At 38.3% G+C, this 22,483-nt stretch overlaps 1 pseudogene across 1 annotated transcript in view; it reads left to right on the top strand.

Moving 5' to 3' along the window:
* Positions 1-22,483, top strand: part of FGF7P3 (fibroblast growth factor 7 pseudogene 3) — a 60,783-nt pseudogene that overhangs the window by 33,465 nt on the left and 4,835 nt on the right. Inside the window, exon 2 of the transcript NR_003670.1 lies at positions 22,178-22,281. The product of NR_003670.1 is annotated as a fibroblast growth factor 7 pseudogene 3 (transcript). The remainder of the gene's footprint in view (positions 1-22,177; positions 22,282-22,483) is intronic.

Genomic DNA, 22,483 nt, shown 5'->3' with positions numbered 1-22,483 from the left:
ACTACTGGTATCTACCCAAGGAAAAGAAGTCATTATATATAAAGAACACTTGCACATGGATGTTTATCACAGCACAATTCACGATAGCAGAGATACGGAATCAAGCTGAGTGCCAATCAACGGAGGAGTGGATAAGGAAAATGTGGTACATATAAAAAATGGAATACTACAGGCCCAGCCAGGTGGCTCACGCCTGTAATCCCAGCAGTTGGGGAGGCCGAGGCAGGTGGATCATGAGGTCAGGAGTTCAAGACCAGCCTGGCCAAGATGGTGAAACCCCATCTCTACTGAAAATACAAAAATTAGCTGGGCATGGTGGCGGGCACATGTAATCCCAGCTCCTCGGGAGGCTGAGGCAGAGAATTGCTTGAACCCGGGAGGTAGAGGTCGCAGTGAGCTGAGATCACACCACTGCACTCCAGGCTGGGCAACAGAGCGAGACTCCATCTCAACAACAACAACAAAAAGGAATACTACTTAGCCACACACGCACACAAATGTCTTTTGCAGCAACTTGGAACTGGAGGCCATTACCATAAGTGAAGTAACTCAGGAATGGAAAAACCAAATACTGCATGTTCTTACATATAAGTGGGAGCTAAGCTATGGGTACACAAGGTATACAGAGGGGCATAATGGACATTGGAGGCTCAGAGAGGAAGGGAGAGGGATAAAAAAAAATCACCTCTTGGGTACACTGTAAATTATTTGGTGACAGATACAGTAAAAGCCCAGACTTCTCCACTATACAATTTATTCATATAACCAAAAACTATTTGTACCCCTTAAGCTATTGAAATAATAATTTAAAAAATAATTAGTAGAGTTCATCTCAAACTTAATATAAGCTTTTGTTTCATAAATCCATGAGGTATTGGAGCTTCTAAAATGACTTTACAAAACTAGCTCGCCTTAGACTACATACTGAGTTTTCAAGAAGGTGCTTGTGCACTGGTGAGTTCCCAATGCTTTTCATTCATGAATGATAAAGAGAAATGAATCAAGAAGTCGTGGCAGCACGTGCCTGAGAAGCAGCCAACATAGCTCACGCCCCTCCAGACAGGCTTAGTCTCTAAGGAGAAAATGGTTTCCCCAGCCAAATGGCTTAGGAGACTTTTTAAGGGACTTGGCTTTTTTTTTTTTCTTTTAACTTTTATTGTAAGGTCAGGGGTACATGTGAAGATTTGTTACAAAGGTAAACTCATGTCATGGGGTCTTGTTGTACAGGTTATTTAATCACCCAGGAATTAAGCCCAGTACCCAACAGTTACTGTTTCCACTCCTCTCCCACCTCCCACACTGCATGCTCAAGCAGACCCCAGTGTCTGCTGTTTCCCTCTTTGTGTTAATAAGTTCTCATCATTTAGCCTTCACTTACAAGTAAGAACATGCAGTATTTGGTTTTCTGTTCCTGCGTTAGTTGCTGAGGATAATAGCCTCCAGCTCTAGCCATGTTCCTGCAAACGACATAATCTCATTCTTTTTTACAGCTGCATGGTACTCCATGGTGTATATGTACCACATTTTCTTTATCCAATCTGTCATTGATGGGCATTTAGGCTGATTCCATGTCTTTGCTATTGTGAATATTGCTGCGATGAACATTTACATGTGCAAGTGTCTTTATGGTAGACTGGTTTATATTCCTCTGGGTATATACCCAGTACTGGGATTACTGAGTTAAATAGCAGTTCTGCTTTTAGCTCTTTGAGGAATCACCATATTGCTTTCCACAATGGTTAAACTAATTTACATCCCACCAATGTGTCTAAGTGTTCCTTTTTCTCTGCATTCTCACCAGCATCTGCTATTTTTTGACTTTTTAACAATAGCCTTTCTGACTGGTATGAGACAGTATGTCACTATGGTTTTGATGTGCATTTCTCTAATGATTAGTGATAGATATTGAAGTTTTTTTCATATGCTTGTTGGATGCATGTGTGTCTTCCTTTGAAAAGTTTCTGTTCATGTTCTTTGCTCACTTGTTAATGGGGTTGTTTGTTTTTCTCTGGGAAATTTGTTTATGTTCCTTATAAATGCTGAATATCACACCTTTGTCGGATGCATAGTTTGCAAATATTTTCTCCCAGTCTGTAGGTTGTCTGTTAACTCTGTCCATAGTTTTCTTTTGTTGTGCAGAAGCTCTTAAGTAAATTGGATCCCCCTTGTCATTGTTTGCTTTCGTTGCAATTGCTTTTAGCATCTTTGTCATGAGATCTTTGCCTATTCCTATGTCCAGGATGATATTGCCTAGTTTGTCTTCATGGGTTTTCATAGTTTTGGGTTTTACACTATGTCTTTAATCCTTTTGAGTTGATTTCTGTATCTGGTGTAAGGAAGGGTGGTGTAAGGAAGAGTGGATGCTTCAGTTTTCTGCATATGGCTAGCCAGTTATCCCAGCACCATTTATCAAATAGGGAATTGTTTCCCCATTGCTTGCTTTTGTCAGCTTTGTTGAAGATCAGGTGGTCATAGGTGTGCAACCTTATTTCTGGGCTCTTGATTCTGTTCTGTTGGTTTATTTGCCTGTTTTTGTACCAGTACCATGTTGTTTTTGTTACTGTAACCCTGTAATATAGTTTGAAGTTGAGTAACATAATGCCTCCAGCTTTTCTCCTCTTTACTTAGGATTGTCTTGGCTATTCAGGCCTTAGTTTTTTGGTTCTATATTAATTTTAATATAGTTTTCCTAGTTTTGTGAAGAATGTCATTGGTAGTTTGATATGAATAGTATTGAATCTGTAAATTGCTTTGGGCATTATGACCATTTTAATTATGTTGATTCTTCCTATCCATGAGCCTGAGATATTTTTTCATTTGTTTGTGTCATCTCTGATGTCTTTGAGCAGTGTTTTGTAATTCTCATTGTAGAGAATTCTACACCTCCCTGGTTAGCTGTATTCCTAGGTATTTTATCCCTTTTGTGGCTATTGTGAGTGGGAATGCTTTTCTGATTTGGCTCTTGTTTTGGCTGCTGTCGGTGTATAGGAATTCTAGTGATTTTTGTACATTGATTTTGTATCCTGAGACTTTGCTAAAGTTGTTTATCAGCTAAAGGAGCTTTTGGGCTGAAGGAATGAGGCTTCTGGATATAACATCATGTCATCTGCAAACAGAGATAGTTTGACTTCTTTTCCTATCTAGATGCTCTTTACTTCTTTCTCTTTCATGATTGCTCTGGCTAGGACTTTCACAACTATTTTGAATAGGAGTGGTGAGAGAGGGCAGCCTTGTTTTGTGCCAGTTTTCAAGAGCAAAAAGCTTCCGGCTTTTGCCCGTTCAAAGTGATATTGGCTGTGGATGTGTCATAGATGTCTCTTATTATTTTGAGGTATATTCCTTCAACACCTACTTTATTGAGAGTTTTTAACATGAAAGGGTGTTAAATTTTATCTAGAGCTTTTTTTCTGCATTGATTGAGATAATCATGTGATTTTTGTCTTTAGTTCTGTTTATGTGATGAATCACATTTATTGATTTGCATATGTAGAACCAACCTTGCATCCCAGGAATGAAGACTATTTGATCATGGTGGATTAGCTTTTTGATGTGCTGCTGGATTTGGTTTGCAAGTATTTTGCTGAGGATTTTTGCATGATGTTCATCAAGGATATTGGCCTGAAGTTTTCTTTTTGGTCATTGTGGCTCTGCCAGGTTTTAGTATCAGGATGATGGTGGCCTCATAGAATGTGCTAAAGAGGAGTCACTCCTTCTCAATTTTTGGGGGGGTACTTTCCCTAGGAATGGTACCAGTTCTTTGTACATCTGGTAGAATTCAGCTATGAATCCATCAGGTCCTGAGCTTTTTTTGGTTGGTAGGCTATTTGTTACTGGTTCAATTTTGGAGCTTGTTACTGGTCTGTTCAGGCAATCAATTTCTTCCTGGCTTAGTCTTGGGTGGGTATATGTGTCCAGGAATTTATCCATGTTTTCAAGGTTTTCTAGTTTGTGTGCATAGAGGTGTTCAGAGTAGTTTTTAGTGGTTATTTGATTATTTTTATTTTTGTGCAGTCAGTGTTAGCATTCCTTTCATTTCTTTTTTTTTTTTTTTGAGACAGAGTCTTGCTTTGTCATCCAGGCTGGTGTACAGTGGCACCATCTTGGCACACTGCAGGCTCTGCCTCCTGGGTTCAAGCAATTCTTGTGCCTCGGCCTCCTGAGTAGTTGGAACTACAGTTGTGTGCCACCATGCCCAGCTAATTTTTGTATTTTTAGTAGAGAGGGTTTCACCACGTTTGTCAGGCTGCTCTCAAACTCCTGGCCTCAAGTGATCTACCCGCTTCAGTCTCCCAAAGCACTGGGATTACAGGTATGAGCCACCACACCGGGTCTCAAAATTTTAGTTGTGTTTATTTGGACCTTTTCTCTTTTTTTCTTTATTAGTCTAGGTGTTGGCCTATCTTACTAATTTTTTCAAAAAAATAATCCTGGATTCATCAATCTTTTGAATTATTTTTGTGTCTTAATTTTCTTCCATTCAGCTCCAATTTTGGTTATGTCTTGTCTTCTGCTAGCTTTGGGGTTGATTTGTTATTGCTTCTGTAATTCTTTTAGTGGTGATATTAGGTTGTTAATTTGAGATCTTTCTAACTTTTTGAGATTTTTCTAACTTTTTGATGTGGGCAGGTAGTGCTATGAATTTCCCTCTTATCATTGCCTTACCTGTGTCCCAGAGATTCTGGTATGTTGTATCTTTGTTCACATTATTTTCAAAGAACTTCTTGATATCTGCCTTAATTTCATTATTTACCCAAAAGTCATTCAGAAACATGTTGTTTAATTTCCATGTAATTGTATGGTTTTGAGTGATTTTCTTAGTCTCAACTTTTATTTTTACTGCACTGTCGTCCAAGAGTGTGTTTGGTAAGAATTCGGTTCTTTTACATTTGCTAAGCATTGTTTTATGTCCAATTATGTGGCTGATTTTAGAGTATGTGCCATGTGGTGATGAGAAGAATGTATATTCTGTTGTTTTTGAGTGGAGAGTTCTGTAGAGGTCAATCAGATACATTTGATCTAATGCTGAGTTCAGGTCCTGAATATGTTTTTTAATTTTCTGCCTTGGTGATCTATCTAATAACTGTTAGTGGAGTGTTGAAATCTCCCACTGTTATTGTGTGAGACTCTATGTCTCTTTGTAAGTCTCTAAGAACTTGCTTTATGAATCTGGGTGCTCCTGTATTGGGTGCACATATATTTAGGATAGTTAGATCTTCTTGTTGAATTGAACTCTTTACACCATTATGTAATGCTCTCCTTTGTCTTTTTTGATCTTGGACTTGGCTTCTTAAAAACATCCTTAATGGCAATATTCTTTGTCTCTTAAGTACACCTCTATTCTTCTTCTTTTTTTTTTTCAGATAGAGTCTCACTCTGTCACCAGGCTGGAGTGCAATGGCACTATCTCTACTCACTGCAACCTCCCCCTCCCGGTTCAAGCGATTCTCCTGCCTCAGCCTCCTGAGTAGCTGGGACTACAGGCGCGTGCCACCATGCGCAGCTAATTTTTGTATTTTTAGTACAGACAAGGTTTCACCATGTTGGCCAAGATGGTCTCGATCTCTTGACCTCGTGATCCGCCCTCCTCAGCCTCCCAGAGTGTTGGGATTACAGGCATGACCCACCAAGTGCATCTCTATTCTTATGAGACAATTGTGCCGCCATTGATAATACGCCAAACCTCGATTCTTGCATTTACCACCTTGACTCTTCCTGAATTGCACAACGGTGATAAACAATGGCTGAACTTTTTTCTTTTGAGGACTTTGGAGTGCAACAACTATATTTATTCTATGAGAAAGAAATTCATTCTTTCTCTTGAACAAGAGGAGGGACTGTGAACTTCCCTGAAGCCAAAAAGATTTGCCTAAACACTGTGCTAAGAGACTTGACCAAACATTAGCCTGGCTGCCACTTGGAGTAGTTAACCCCAGGCCCTGTGCTGAGTCTTTGCTCAAGAAAATACAATGCTACCAAACCACATAATGTATATTGTCGTAACCGATGATGTCAAATCATTTTCAGTAATTCTCTACTTACCTCCCGCTCTTTTTTTTTTTTTTTTTTTTTTTTGAGAAGGAGTCTCCCTCTCTCCCCCAGGCTGGAGTGCAGTGGTGTGATCTCAGCTCACTGCAAGCTCCCCCTCCCAGGTTCACGCCATTCTCCTGCCTCAGCCTCCTGAGTAGCCGGGACTACAGGCGCCCGCCACCATGCCCGGCCAACTTTTTGTGTGTTTTTAGTAGAAACGGGGTTTCACCATGTTAGCCAGGATGGTCTCGATCTCCTGACCTCGTGATCTGCCCGCCTCTGCCTCCCAAAGTGCTGGGACTACAGGCGTGAGCCACCGTGCCAGGCTCTTACCCCCTTTTATAATTTGCATTTTCACGTAGTCCTCAGTCCCTTTTTTAATTCCCCTCTTTTTACTTTTCCATAGTTTCTTTTTATTTCCCATTTGTTCTCTTTTTAAAAACATCAGCCTCCTTTGTCTTACTTGGAGTTGAGCTTAGTTTATACTGAAGTCTCTCCCTCCTGCTGAAATAGTCTGAATACAATAGGTCTCATTGCCTTTAGCAAGTATCCAGCACTGCTGTTTTTCTTTGACAATTTCTAGGGTTGCCTTAGATGAAGTGGGGTGAAAGGGCATTAGAAGGCACAGGCCAAAAGATCAGAACTCTGGACTCTCAGTCCCAAATTCTACTAGTAGAGCTCCTTTTTCATATTCTTCATACACTGGGGGCTTTGCTGAGAGTTTGCTGGACTGAATATAGGAAGAACAACAGACTTCTGAAGTTAGTCACATCTGTCCTTGATTCAATTATACCAACATGAGGATTCTCAAAGTTATTTTTTTCCTAGAAATGCTTTATTTTCAGGAAATATTTATTTAGCGTTGATGACTTGAGTATTAATCTCAAGGCAAGGAAATGAGGGAAATGACCTCCTGATGTCTTTCCCATGAATCTGTAACTCGGTGGTCAGCTTCTTCCCATGTTATTTTTCTTGTGGCACCTCAGTGATTTTATTAGTTTCACCGCAAGTACTCCCAGCAAGGGAAATCAGTGATCCCAAAGGCACCAGGCTGGAGTTTTCCCGCATAAAGATCACTCTTTGAAGCAGCTCCTTACTAGAAATTTGTTATGTTTACCTTTGCCAATCATCTATGATTAGTGTAGTAATTATTCTGTTTTTGCTATCTTTTATTTTTGATACTCACTGAAGGCTTCACTTATCAACGATTAAGGCATGTGTTTCTGCTTTGATTCAGTGTCTTCTTAGTATGAGCATGGTGGTATAATTTTCTTGAATCAGTGCTGGGATTTATTTGATTATGAAAATTTATTTTCATTCAAGTATTTTAAATGCACTTTTAATATTAAGTACATTTAATATTACATGTAATATTAACTTGAAGTGTAACTAATATGAACAAATTCCCGAAGTACATGAAAATAACTTTTAATCATGTAAGTATGACTATTTAATTTATTTCTTTTCACAATATAAAAAGCACATGCGATATTTTGAAAGACTATTAAAGGTGGGGAGAAGAGGTTATTTAAATCTATGTTTGGATGCAACTTTTATGGCTTAAACTACAAAGAATTATCCTTTTTATATATTAAATGATTGTATAGTTTTTTTAATACTGTTTTTTGATACAAGTGTGAAATTCTTAAAGAAAATGGCAAACATCACTAACAACCATTACAATTCTAATAGCTAACTTTTCTGAGCCATTACTTGGAACCACGCGCTGTTTAAAACGCCTCACTTGGCCAGGCGCGGTGGCTCATGCCTGTAATCCCAGCACTTTGGTAGGCCGAGGCAGGTGGAACACGAGGTCAGGAGATCGAGACCATCCTGGACAACATGGTGAAACTCCGTATCTATTAAAAATACAAAAATTAGCCGAGTGTGGTGGCCTGTGCCTATAGTCCCAGCTACTCAGAAGGCTGAGGCAGGAGAATCAAAAATCATCTTTATCCGAGTTCCCAACAAGTTCCCCATCTCCATCTGAGACCACCTCAGCCTGGACTTCATTTTCCATGTCACTATCAGCATTTTGGTAGAAGCCATTCAAGTCTCTAGGAAGTCCCAAGCTTTCCCACATCTTCTTGTCTTCCAAGCCCTCCAAGTCTCTAGGAAGTTCCACACTTTCCCACATTCTTCTGTCTTCTTTTTTTTTTTTTGAGATGGAGTTTCGCTCTTGTTGCCCAAGCTGGAATGCAGTGGTGCAATCTCTGCTCACTGCAACCTCCACCTCCCATGTTCAAGCCATTCTCCTTCCTCAGCCTCCCAAGTAGCTGGGATTACAGGCATGCACCACGATGCCCAGCTAATTTTATATTTTTAGTAGAGATGGGGTTTCACCATGTTGGCCAGGCTGGTCTCAAACTCCTGACCTCAGGTCATCCACCTGCCTCGGTCTCCCAAAGTCCTGGGATTACAGGGATGAGCCACCACACCCAGCCTTTACTGTCTTCTTCTGAACCCTCCAAACTATTCCAACCTCTGCCTGTTGCCCAGTTCCAAAGTCACTTCCACATTTTAGTGTATCCTTATAACAGCACCCTATGTCTGTGGTACCAATTTACTGTATTAGTCTGTTTTCATGCTGTTATGAAGAACTACTCAAGACTGGGTAATTTATAAAGAAAAGAAGTTTAATTAACTCATAGTTTGACATGGCTTGGAATGCCTCAGGAAACTTACAATCATGGCCGAAGGCACCTCTTCACAGGGTGGCAGCAGAAACAATGAGTTTTGAGTGAAGGAAGAAGCCCCTTATAAAACCATCAGATCTTGTGAGAACTCACTATCACGAGAACAGCATGGAGAAAACCACCTCTATGATTCAATCATGTCCATCTGGTCCCGCCCTTGACACATGAGGATTATGGGAATTACAAGATTACACATTAATCTTAAATTACACATTAATAAGTGTGTAATGAAACATCCCCATTTTTTTATTTGAGTTCATTTCAATAGATATGGAAATAATGGAAAATGCATCTGACATCAAATTCCTGGGAAGTACAGGCAGAAAAAAAAAAAATCTTTAAAGGTATTTGAATAAGTAAATGTTGCAGCCAAACCATATCACTTGTTAAAAATGCACGTTAACCATTGAATCAAAACCATATGTAACCTTAGATAATTCAATTTCAACCAGATTATTCCTTTTATTCTTTAAATGATGGAGAACATTATAGCCATAGGCTCGTGCTGACAATTTTCCCTTAAATGAATGAAAAGATGAATTTATTTTTCTCAAAGAATTCTGTACCATTATAGGAATAAAAGATCAGCAGTTGTAACAGGGAATGTCCAAAAAGCCTGAAATAACATTGCTGTTAAGAATTAGCTGTTACAAAATTGCCCCAAGAAATCTCAGTGCTCCACAAACTTCACATGGTTGAAGGTCATAATTATTATAAAAGTTGAACTATGTTAATTCAGAGGTCACTGTCATTATTACTCTCAAGTATCCAAGAGCCATGAATAATCCAGAACATTGCGTACCTAATCAGGAATGGAGAAGTAATGTCCTTTTGAATTTTATACCTCTGGGGCTGCCCATAAAAATCTTAGGATTTTGAGCTCTTTGAGGGTCATGATTTTTACCTCTATTCTCTTTGTGTCCACAAACATCTAAGATATCAGTAATGTTATTCACTAATTTGCTGACAAAGAGGAAACTGAATAAAATTTAAATATATTTACTCTGAATATATGATCTTTAGAATAAACTAATTTTTCAGTGATTCATTCTGCACAATTTTAAATCTTTTTCGTAGTAACCTCAGTTTGCGTGACTTTAAATGGGAAAACTCACATTTTAAATGTATAATGAAACATTCTCATTTTTGATTTGAGTTCATTTCAATAGATATGGAAATAATAGAAAATGTCCCTGAGGTCAAATTCCTGGGAAGTAGAAGCAAAAAAATACCAGATCTTTAAAGGTATTTGAATAAGTAAATGTTGCAGTCTGTACTTTATCAGTTAGCTATGATGCAAAAAACAATGCATGGCAGTTGCTTGTCAATTTTGTGATTTATTCAGAAACATACATCTCTGCATACACTTACAGTTTTATACGGCAGTGCAAAATGTCAAAAGCACTGATGTTGCTCAAAGGAAATGTTAAGGAGCTAACTAAGGCTCGCTCCAAATTCCTTCACAAACCCGTCCAATCCTGTGAGATTCGAGTGGCCTTCACATCACAGCCTGCATCCTGACAGGCCCTGTGAGACCCATCCCGCTTCGTGGAACGTGAGTCAGCAGCTCAGGGAAGGACAAGGACATCTACATAATTGGCTTGAAATATTCAACTTTTCAAAATTTTATATTTTCATACATATAAATATATATTCTTAAAATGTATTTTTGTTTTTCTATCCGAACAGAAGTGCAATAATTCTTTAAAAATATTTCTAAACAGACCGGGGCAGTGGCTCACACCTGTAATCCCAGCACTTTGGGAGGCCGGTGCGGGCAGATCACGAGGTCAGGAGATTGAGACCATCCTGGCTAACACGGTGAAACCCCGTCTCTACTAAAAATACAAAAAATTATCCAGGCATGGTGGCGGGCACCTGTAGTCCCAGCTACTCCGGAGGCTGAGGCAGGAGAATGGCATGAACCTGGGAGGCGGAGCTTTCAGTGAGCTATCCCGCCAGTGCACTCCAGCCTGGGTGACAGAGCGAGACTCTGTCTCAAAAAAGAAAAAAAAAATTTGTAAACAAATGTTGATGAAAATAGGAAACTGAATACAATTACGAACAATGAATTTAATCATTAGTTTCTTCTGCTTTATACTATATGTGAATTTGGTCTAGAAAATACAACATAAAAGGAAATAAGTAGAAACCAAATGTTGAGCATTACTAAGGTAAAAATGTTGAATGGAATACTTTATTATTTATTTATGTATTTATGTATTTATTTGTTTGTTTATTAAGACATGGTTTTACCCTGTTGCCCAGGCTGGAGTGCAGTGGCATGACCATGGCTCACTACAGTCTTGAACTTTCATGCTCAAGCTATCCTCTGACCTTAGCCTCCTGAGTAGCTGGAACTACAGGTGAGTGCCACCATGCCTGGCTAATTAAAAATAATTTTTTTTTTTTGTAGAAACAGGCTCTCACTATATAGCCAGGGCTGGTCTCAAACTCCTGGGCTTAAGGGAGCCTCCTATCTTCATCTCCCAAATTACTGGGATTATAGATGTGAGTCATCAGGTGTCACCTGAATGATAAATTTTAATGATGTACCTAGCACATGAGTTTCAAAGTTTTCACTCTCCAAAAATTTTCATAAGGTCAGTTTAATTATTAATACCATGTTTTACAGTTATAGAATTAATGCATAAATACAGTAAAACAAAACAAAATGTGAAACTATAGAATTGTATGAAATAAAAAATAAGAATATTTCTTCTGTCTCTGTACATTTTCCATCTTTACCATGTTCAACATATCTTTATTACTATTATTATGAAAAATTTAAAGAATATACAAAAGGAAATAAATAGCATAATGAATGAATAGTATAATTAACTCATTGACCTAATACCCAGCTTCAGTTTTAGACAGTCCTGATTCCTCTGATCCCACTTCCCTGACATAGATTAATTGAAGAGCATTTCTGGCATCCTATCATTTCATCCATGAATATTTTAGTATCCACCTCCAAAGGGTAAGGATCCCCTTTTTAAAATAATACATCTAAAAAATTAGCCAGAATTACTTACTTTTAACCAAAATCCAGTCGCTGTTCCAATTTCCCTGATTGTCTTACTTTTTTTTTTTTTTTTGAGATAGAGTCTCGCCCTGTCACCCAGGCTGGAGTGCAGTGGCAAGATCTCGGCTCACTGCAACCCCCACCTCCTGGGCTCAAGCGATTCTTCTGCCTCAGCTTCCAATTAGCTGGGATTACAGGTGCCCACCACCATGCCTGGTTAACTTTTTGTATTTTTAGTAGAGACGGGGTTTCACCATATTGGCATGTTGGTCAGGCTTGGCCAGGATTGATCTCCTGACCTCAAGTGACCCACCCACCTCGGCCTCCCAAAGTGTTGGGATTACAGGTGTGAGCCACGCTGCCTGGCCAGTCTTACATATTTTTTCACACCATTTTTCTTTTTTTAAAAAAGCAGAATCCTTGTACGGATATTACGATGGATTGCAGAGTCTCTAAAGCATTCTTCATTCTTATTCTTCCCCTTCCATCTTTTTTTTTCCATGCAATTCATTAAAGAAACTAGGACAGAGTCCACAGTGTAGATTTTTATGATTGTGTTGTCACTGTGGTGTCATTTAACATGCTACTCTGACCTCAGTATTTTCTGTGAAACCCACGTGTCAGGGGTGTTGGGCAGATTTGTTTGCTTCTGGGTTTGTGTTTCCAACACAGACTCAGGACCTGGTAACAATCCCCTATAGCAGTTCGTAACCATTTGCTTGATTTTGACTGAACACCAGAGGGCAGTGCAGGTGGACACCAAGAGCATTGCTGTCAACACACAGAGGCCTGTGGGCACAGGGGTCCTGCACTGCGAGGCCAAAGCTCCCTTCTCTGCTCCCAAGCAATCCCTTTCCCTCCTCTGAAGGACAGCCACGTACTCTAGGTCCTAACCTCTGGAGTGCACTAATGACCAAGAGGTGCATGAGCACCAAATGTGAGAGGACAGGAGTCTGGAAACCTAGCACGGGAGTCTTCTCAAAACCTTAGGACATTCCTACTGTTGTGAGGGTAGGAGAAGAATGCCTAGCTAAGGAAACAAGTGTTTAGTGTCCAATGTGAGTAAGTGCCATGGGGAAGAATAAAGCAAGGAAGGGCAAGAAGATGCCCAGGGTGGACAAAGAAGCTCTCATTGATAAAGAGACATTAGAACACACATCTGAAGGTGGCGAGATAGTCAGCTTTTCAGATATCTGGAGCAAACTTGTTGCTCTAAGAGGAAAAAGCAGGTGCAAAGGCCCTGGGGCAGGAACATACTAGTTGTGTTTGAGGGGGCAAGCTGTTGTAACTGGAACAGAGAGAGAAGGGGGAAGATGGTAGTGAATGAAATCTGAAAAGGAACAGATTATGTACGATTTTTAGGCCATTATAAGGACTTTGGCTTTTACTCCTGTGAATCAGAAAGCTACGTGACTGGGGTGGGGTAGTGCTTTACTAAGAGGAGTGGTGCTCTCTGATAATTTTTAAAGGATCACTCTGGTTGCTGAGTTACAAATACATAGAATGTGTCAGCCGGGAGATCAATGGGGAGGCGATTGCAGTCATGTGGGGTGGCTGCTACAATCTATGTTAGAAACTTGCATGGTTCATGCTTTTTATTTTAGGCAAGTTCATCAGCATTTGCTTTTCAGATACTTAATGAATCTTTCAGTCTGTTTAGAGAATAAGGCATGTGTTGAAATGATCAGTACACAGTATTAGAAAATGGAAAGCCATGAGTATAATAACAGAGATACCTTTAGGGGCAAAGTGAAGTCAGGAGAGGAAGGGACTGCAGCCAGCTTGGCAGGTGAGCATGGCATAGGACACACCTTCCTTGAGATGGTCACAAATACAGTTTTATCTGTTTTCCTTGTGATGGTCACAAATGCAGTCTTATTAGCTTTCACAAATAAAACCTTACAAATGTTCACTAATAAAATGCTACAACATATCCTATACCATATGCCAATTTAAGATAGGTTTTACTCCAATGAGTTAGGTTATCTGTAAATAACACATGGTCAAATCCCATATGTCTGTGTAGCAAATACTTTCTCAGTGTCCTGTTGTTTTTAATCCAGCATGTTCCACCAGCCTGGTCTAGGCTAGGGCTGGCACCTAGATAGTCATTAGGGTAAGTGTGTGTTTGTTTTGGGGTGTGTGTGTGTGTGTGTGTCTGTGTGTGTGTGTAAGACTCATTGGCTCTACTCCAGGCCCCCTCTATCAAAATTTCTGGAGGTGGGAATCAAGTGTGATACTGATTTGGAAACCACCAATTCAGTTCACAGTCTTCTAGTCCAGTCTATAACAGCTGCCTTCATGACAAACTGAATGTTGAAAGCTGTGGAAGGTGCCAGTAAATAAAAATAGAGGTGGAGGGAAAGCCATTTCAGACAAAGGGGATAGAGCACTAAACAACATAGGAGTCAGACCGGATTGGTTTTGCAGTGACTTCTGATGGCCTATGTAAGTGTTCAATGACTGGATTTGCCTGGAATGTGGGGTTCAGGGTCCTTGGAAGAGAGTAGGTAGAAATAAGGTTTTGGAGTGTGTGAAATTAGATTGTGGAGGGCCTCACATGTTGAGCAAAGGATACTAAAGTTTATTTTCTAGGTAATAGGGAGCCAATCAAAATTTTTAAAATGAATGATGACACCACAGAACTATGGTTCAAGAACTCCACACATCTGACAGTCATGTGTAAAAATAGCTGTGGTGCTATGAGTCCAGAGATGAGAAAGTTTTCTGCATTCATTCAGGAGAGAGGGGGTTGGGTGCTTAAATAGGAATAGGCCACTGGGATGTGTAGGTTGGAATGAATGTGAGAGACAGAAGATGTGAACAGTAGAAGAGAAAGGACAAGGTCAAACATGGCACTGGGGTTTTAAATACAGGAAATTGGGAGGATGAACCAGCAGCCTAGCAAGATACAGAAGAAAAAAGAGATTTAGGAAAAACGTAGTATGGGTCAGCCAGATTTGGGGATGCCCATGCCATAATCAACTATAACCAATGGAAGATGATTTAACACAGTTGTAAGTATCTTGAAGCCAACGGTCTGTTTAGATGGGAAACAGTCTTTCATTTTCAAATTTAAAACTTTATTCTTAAAATGTGTACATTTAATCCAGAATAATCTATGGATATGTATTGAATAAATGTGTTCATTTTTAAATTTATATTTGATTTGTAGTGTCCCATTTCACTATAGTTTTCTGAAGAAATCTCAGTTGTTTATGCAAACTGTATCATAATAGTCAAGAATTTAAGAATACTTTCGTGTTCAAGGTCTTATCTCCAATTCTCCTCTTGTTTAACATGATTGCCTTTTGACCTACCTTCCATCTTAACATTAACATTATATTTTTTAATTATCCTGAATCAAATTTCGATTTAAGAAACTCCAAAAATAACAAAAATTGGAAACAGCCTATAACATTTTAGGAAATCAAGAAATATATTTAATTGTAACACCCAGTTTCATACTCCACAAGAGAAAAATAAAGCAAAGCCTGATCAAGACGTTCCTTTAACACAACTCAATCACCTTTGAGGCTTCATTCTTTACCAGTCTCTCTAGTCTCTGTGCCTATTTTCTACTCTCCCTGAGCAGAAATTTACGTGTCACATTTTGCCAAGGCCTCCATTACATGAGTAATGAGTGCTTACATATATTGATATCCCCTGATTTTCTGTTGGTTAAGTTTCCAGGAACATTCATTCTCTTGGGAGGAGTAGAGACTCAGGTAAAAGTCATGTCTCTTCATCTTCCATCCTTCAGAGATTACTGGTGGCCAGAACACCTATGTGGAAGAGTGGGTGTGGGAAGTGGGGTGTGTGGATAAAGAAACTCTGTTCGGGAGAGGCTCCCAGGGATCTGTGAGTCAGAGGAGTCACCTATCTTTAGGGTTGCACAAATCTAGCACCTTCTATGAAAACTGCATTCACCCAGAATGTGAAAAGAAAAAAGGGATGGCTGAGAACTTTTAAAATTCAGCAACAGACACCTGCCCACAAATCAAAGAAGCTCAGAGAACACCAGATCCTACTTTCCTACTGTCATAAATTAGGTAGTTATTTTATTAAAATAAAAGAAAGGGCCGGGCGCGGTGGCTCACGCTTGTAATCCCAGACTTTGGGAGGCTGAGGTGGGCGGATCACGAGGTCAGAAGATCGAGACCATCCTGGCTAACACGGTGAAACCTCGTCTCTACTAAAAATACAAAAAATTAGCTGAGCGTGGAGGCGGGCGCCTGTAGTCCCAGCTGCTGGGGAGGCTGAGGCAGGAGAATGGCGTGAACCCGGGAGGCGGAGCTTTTAGTGAGCCGAGATCGCGCCACTGCACTCCAGCCTGGGCGACAGAGCGAGACTCCGTCTCAAAAAAAAAAAAAAAAATTGAGCGGATAATAGAGTCCCACAAACAATCTCCATTTCCCCCCACAGTTCCTCCATTATAAATATCTTGCATTAATGTGGCACATTTATTACAATAGATGAGCCAATATTTATTTATACCATCAATTTATACTAACGTCCCCGCTTTGCTTTGTATAGTTCTATGAGTTCTGACAAATGTATATCGTCTATCCACTATTACAGTATTACGCAGAATAGTTTCACTGATTTAAAAATCCCCTGTGATTCAGCTTTTCATCCTTCTTCTGCTCTCCTCAAGGCCCTTGCAACCACTGATCTTACCGCCTCTAAAGTTTTGCCTTTGCCAGAATGTCATATGGCTGGAATCATACAGTATGTGGCTTTTTCAGACTGGTTTCTTTCACTTAGCAATATGTACTTAAGGTTCCCCTTGTCTTTTTGTGGCTTCACAGCTCAATACCTTTTTATTGCTAAATAATATTCCAATGTATAAGTGTACCATAGTTTGTTTATCCATTTACCTATTGGATATGTTGGTTGCATCTGGTTTTTGATGATATGAATAAAGCTTCTATAAATAGTCATGTTCAGGTTTTTGTGTGAACGTAAGTTTTCAATTCAATTGGGCAAATACCTGGGGGCATGACTGCTGGATTATATAGCATGTTTAGTTTTTAAGAAACTGCCAAACTGTCTTCCCATGTGACTGCACCATTTTGCGTTCCCACTAGTAATGAAAGAGTTTTGGTTGCTTTGCATCCTTGCCAGCATACAGCACTGTCAGTTTTTTGGAGTTTAGTCATGCTAATAGTTGTATAGAGGTATCTCATTGTTGTTGTTTTAATTTGCAATTCCTTTTTAAATAATTTCAACTTTTATTTTAGATTCAGGGGGTTCATGTGCAGGTCTGTTACCTGGGTATATTGTGTGATACTGAGGTTTGAGGTATGATTGCTCCCATCACCCAGGTACTGCCCATAGTACCTAATGGTTTTTCAACCCTTCCCTCATCTACTCCCCGCCAGTAGTCCCCAGTGTCAGTTGTTGCCATCTTTATGTCCCTAAGTACCCAGTGTTTAGCTCCCAGTTATAAGTGAAAACATGCAGTAGTTATTTTTCTGTTCCTGTGTTAATTTGCTTAGGATAATGGCCTCCGGCTGCATCCATGTTGCAATTCCTTGATGATCTATGATATTGAGCATCTTTTCGTCTGCTTATTTGCCCTTCGTGTATCTTTAGTGAGGTGTCCAGATTTTGCCCACTTTTTAACTAGTTTTTTTTTCCTATTGTTGTGTTTTCAGTGTTTTTTGTATATGTTGGATATATTGATATATTTTTTGCATATATGTATATGTCGGTGTATTTTAGTGATGTAAAATGAATGGAATCTATAGCCTTAAACATAATATAAATATATAATGGTTAAGATTTCCCACTCAACAATCCAGGCTTGACAGAAAATCATAAAATGTATTTAAATTTAAATGTTTTTTTCTTTGTTGATACTAGTTCTTAGTTTTAACATGCCGAAGAGGGTATATTTGATCAAGGACAAGATTAAATGTTCTGACTGGCTAACTATCAAACCGCTGCCTCCACTTTTTTTTGCAACTTGAAAATATTTAGCTATCATGCTAGCACAGCCATATTAATATATACCCCTTCAAAACTTTAAATATAAGGCTTTAACAGTTTCAGGAAAAAGAAATATTAATGATGCTGAGATTGGTGGCCATGGATTCTGTGTAGTGAGACACTAAAAAGTAATTTTTCAAACAGGAAAGTTAAAGCACTTTAAAATCACAAAGCTATTGGTAATTAAAAAAAGAATTAGTATCAACTTCTGAAATACAAGATTAGAGGGACACCTAAAATTCTGAAAGACTTTAGAGAATTTTTTTAAAAAGTAATTGCAATTTAGATCAAAGTTCCCCACTTTTCATTCCAAGTGTGACACAGGTTTAAATAATAAACAGACAAAAAGTTTAGATAAATTCATGAATTATTGAACCAGACGATAAAAAATAGGGAAGCTATTTAGGGCATAGTCTCTAGTGTGTAAGGGTGACATCCTAAATAATAAATTTATGCTATTGTTGACAATATTGCTAACAAGGCAAAATGGTCAATGTGCTTGACATATTGCCTGGTTTTTCATGTTCTATTGCATGAGCTGATTCTCTCTCTCTTTTTCATTTATATTTTTGAACTCTGTCATTATGTTATCATGGACATTATGTCAACAATTGGATGCATCTATGTAATATGCTTTAAATCTCTGGGAATAAATTTACTGAGTGCTATTTATGTGAACAAACTTCTCTTAAGCACAAATGGAAATCCACAAAGAAAGACAGCCTCTTCTATTTGTTTTATATGAGGCAACGGATACACTGTAGACAAAAAAACCAAGTATAATTAACTTATATTGGTAACTAACTTAATATCTGCATATTACATATTTTTCTATTATGTTTTCTGAGCAACTTCGTGGCTTCTGATTTGGAGGGGTAGGATTTCATAGTTAATAATTTTTTTTTTTTTTTTTTTTTGGTGAGATAGAGTCTAGCTCTTGTTGTCCAGGCTGGAGTGCAATGGTGAAATCTCGGCTCACTGCAACCTCCGCCTCCCAGGTTCAAATGATTCTCCTGACTCAGCCTCCTGAGTAACTGGGATTACAGACACCCACCATCATGCCTGGCTAATTTTTGTATTTTTAGTAGAGATGGGGTTTCACCATATTTGCCAGGCTGGTCTTGAACTCCTGACCTCAGGTGATCCGCCCGCGTTGGCCTCCCAACGTGCTGGGATTACAGGCGTGAGCCACTGCGCCCAGCCCATATTTAACACTTCTATAAATATTTGTGCATATTGAAAGGAACATCACTCCCCACACTGCAACTGAACAAAAGAGTGATAATGTTAATTTCTTTATTCTTGAGCTTTTCTTGAATAAAAGAGGGTCGTAGGACATGGAACAAAATAGACTAGAAAATAGGGTCGATAAGGTACTGATTCTGCCAACACTGCTTAATGCTCTCCCCAAGCAATTGTCTTTTAGATATGTTGATTTCCCAGTGTGAATGGTATTTTTTAAATATGTCAAGCAATTAAGAATATAAGTCTGTTCTCATCTCAGCCAAATGTAGAATCTTTACGAAGAATTTTTGGTATCCTTAACCCTAATATGTGGAGGGATAAGATTAAAAATGTTCACCACCTTATTTTTATTTATTTATTTAACTATTATTTTGAGACAGAGCCTCACTCCACCCAGAGTGGAGTGCTGTGGTGTGACCTCGGCTCATTGCAACCTCTGCCTCCCAAGTTCAAGTGATTCTCCTGCCTCAGCCTCTCAAGTAGCTAGAATTATAGGAATTCACCACCATGCCCAACTAATTTTTTTTTTTTTTTTTTGGTGAGACAGAGTCTCACTCTGTTGCCTAGGCTAGAGGGCAGTGGCACCGTTTTGGCTCACTGCAGCCTCTGCCTTCTGGGTTCAAGCAATTCTCCTGCCTCAGCCTCCTGAGTAGCTGGGATTACAGGCACCCGCCACCACACCCGGATAATTTTTTGTATTTTTAGTAGAAACGGGGTTTCGCCATGTTGGCCAGGTTAGTATTGAACTCCTGACCTCAAGTGATCTGCCTGACTCGGCCTCCTAAAGTGCTGGGATTACAGGTGTGAGCTACCACATCCAGCCATCACCTCTTGTAAAGTGCAGTATAGAAACAGTGGGTAATAGACAGGCAGGGGATAGAGGAAAATGTTTTGGGAGTGGGACAATATGAACTTATTGTCATGACAGGACCAAAAAGGGAAGATGTCTGCCTATCATAATTAATAATAACTCTATCAGTCAACATTTATGTTTTACAATTGTTCTGTAAAAGAAAAGCCAGCAAACATTACAGATTCTAGTCCCTAATAACTGATCAAGAAAGACACTCTAAGCTTGTGCATCAGCATTCTCTTTTTATCTAAAAGAAAATATATTAAATAAAGGGAGGAATGGCAGGAGTAAAGAGACTTGAAGGAAAAGAAAATATTGACTTTTTAATGATATTTTACAATGCTAAGATCTTTAGAAACCAACTATTCCATATGTCTTTTAAATATTAGTTTGGTGCAAAGGTAATTACAGTTTTTGTCATATAAGTAATGGCAAAAGCCACAATTACTCTTGCACCGACCTAACTGATACATTCATTCCATTTTGGAGGTATTGCAAATATGCTGAATCAATGAACTTCTTCAGTATTTTTCATTGTATTCGTACAAATTTAACCTAATAGTATTCTTCTGCATGTTATTTCCCTTTGTGCTTCCTTTAATGCAATGAAGCTGTAGTTACCAAATAGAGTGCTCTAAAAGGGCAAGGCTTGTCTGTGAATTGAGCCTAGCATAAAATTGGCTCTCAGTGAAGACCTGTTGAACATTTCATGAATGCATCAACATCATAATCCTTCATGTGCTTGTAAGCAATTATTAAAATTTTATCTGGCCTATTCAGGCCTGTGTTCTTCAAAATTCTTCAAAATATATGGACGTGTCTGCTCTTTCTATTAGGTTTTAACTTCTGGTGTCAGAAACCAGGGCTGTTTTTCTTAATTTGTGTCCTAAAACCACAGTAGGGTTGTATGCACAGTAGGGTTGTGATAATGCTTAATAAATATATAAAAAGATTAATATCCATTCATTTACATTTTCTTAATAAAACCCAATTTCTGGATGAGTAGCTGTGAAACTCAACTGGACGAGCTCTGACTAGTGTTAAGTATAGTATATTGGGAAAAGGGCTTCTGTATGCAACATATATGTGAGGCAAATGAGAAATATTAGCTAGGCTACATTAAATCCCAATGACATGAATAGAAATTTTATTATCCAGGTAGCAAAAATGAAGTCAAAAAAATAAATAAGAGAATGAAGTGAAGGTATGGGGCAAAACAATTAGTTTTTTCTTTAAGTCAATATTTTAGAAGATAGCTTTTGAAGGCCCAATCACACAGATAATTGACACTTCGACTTTTCTTTGCACTGTGTTAGACTTAGGTAAAAGAATGTCTCAGGACTGTACCTTCATGTAGAAAATGTAATTAATAGCAAATTGCATAAAAGTACACTAAAATTTTTACATCATTTTAATAAATTTCTTGAGATTTTACTTTATTGTGTCATTAAAACACAGGATTTAAGGAAGATATATATAATAAAGGAAAATAGTAAGTTATCATTCTTGTGTAAACATGTTTTGTAAATACTATTTCAACAAAGATTTAAAAGTTAATTACAAAGATATAAAGTTATGAAGTATTATATAAACAGGATTCATAATTTTGTTTTAAATGGTCTTTTCATGTATCAAAATACTATCAGTTTAAAACAATCTTTTTTTTTTAAGGCAGTAGGCTCTGTTTACCATCATTTACAATTACTTTAATTAGAATTTTCTTCACTTTCAGTATATTCAAGAGCTATTCTGTTGGCAATAATTTTTAAGATAAAGTTTATCCAAATAGAAAAGTAATTATATAATGATTAAGAGCCAGAATGTCTGGGTTCAAATTCCAGTTCTGCTACTTATCAGGTATAAGAATTTGGACAAATGTCTTAGTTTCTCTGTGCTTCAGTTTCCTGATCTGTAAAACTGGGATAACAAGACTACCTGCCTCAATCTGTGGTTATGAGTAAATGAGTTAATACATAAGAGCAATGCAATAATCCTTGGCATGTGGTATGAGTTCAATAAACATTAGCTATTATTATTATAGTAAATTAGAAATTTAATTCTAGAGAATAAAAAGCTGAACTCAAATATGTAACTATTTATTTGATACAGACATATTTTCTACAAAATAAAAAACCGTCAGTTTGCACTTCCCTTATATAATGACTATTCTGGTGTTTGTGTGTATCTGTTGTGGGTCGGGGTCTTGGGCTGAGTAAATAATCACATTAAAAATTTTAAAAACTTCCGATTAAAACAGAAATAAGAACAAACGGCCATTCGTGGATCATTTGCAAAGCTGAACGAATACTTGACATGTCTTTCTGTGATTCCTTGCAGATATCATGGAAATCAGGACAGTAGCAGTTGGGATTGTGGCAATCAAAGGGGTGGAAAGTGAATTCTATCTTGCAACGAACGAGGAAGGAAAACTCTATGCAAAGGTATTGATAATTGATAGCTTAGGCTTAATTTTTAAAACTCTTTTGTTGAAATATCTCACCATTCTGAAAAGTAAAAATGGACTTAATTTATCTCCAACTGTATAATTTAATGATTTTATTAAAACACTTTATACTCAAACATTAAGAAAAAATGTTTTCTGTGTGACTTTGGACAAATGGCTTGTTCTTTGGATTTTGGTTT

This window comes from Homo sapiens, chromosome 9 (genome assembly GCF_000001405.40).
Source record: "Homo sapiens chromosome 9, GRCh38.p14 Primary Assembly".
NCBI lineage: Eukaryota > Metazoa > Chordata > Mammalia > Primates > Hominidae > Homo > Homo sapiens.
Note: the sequence above shows the minus strand (reverse complement) of the source record. Positions and strands in the feature narration are given on the sequence as shown.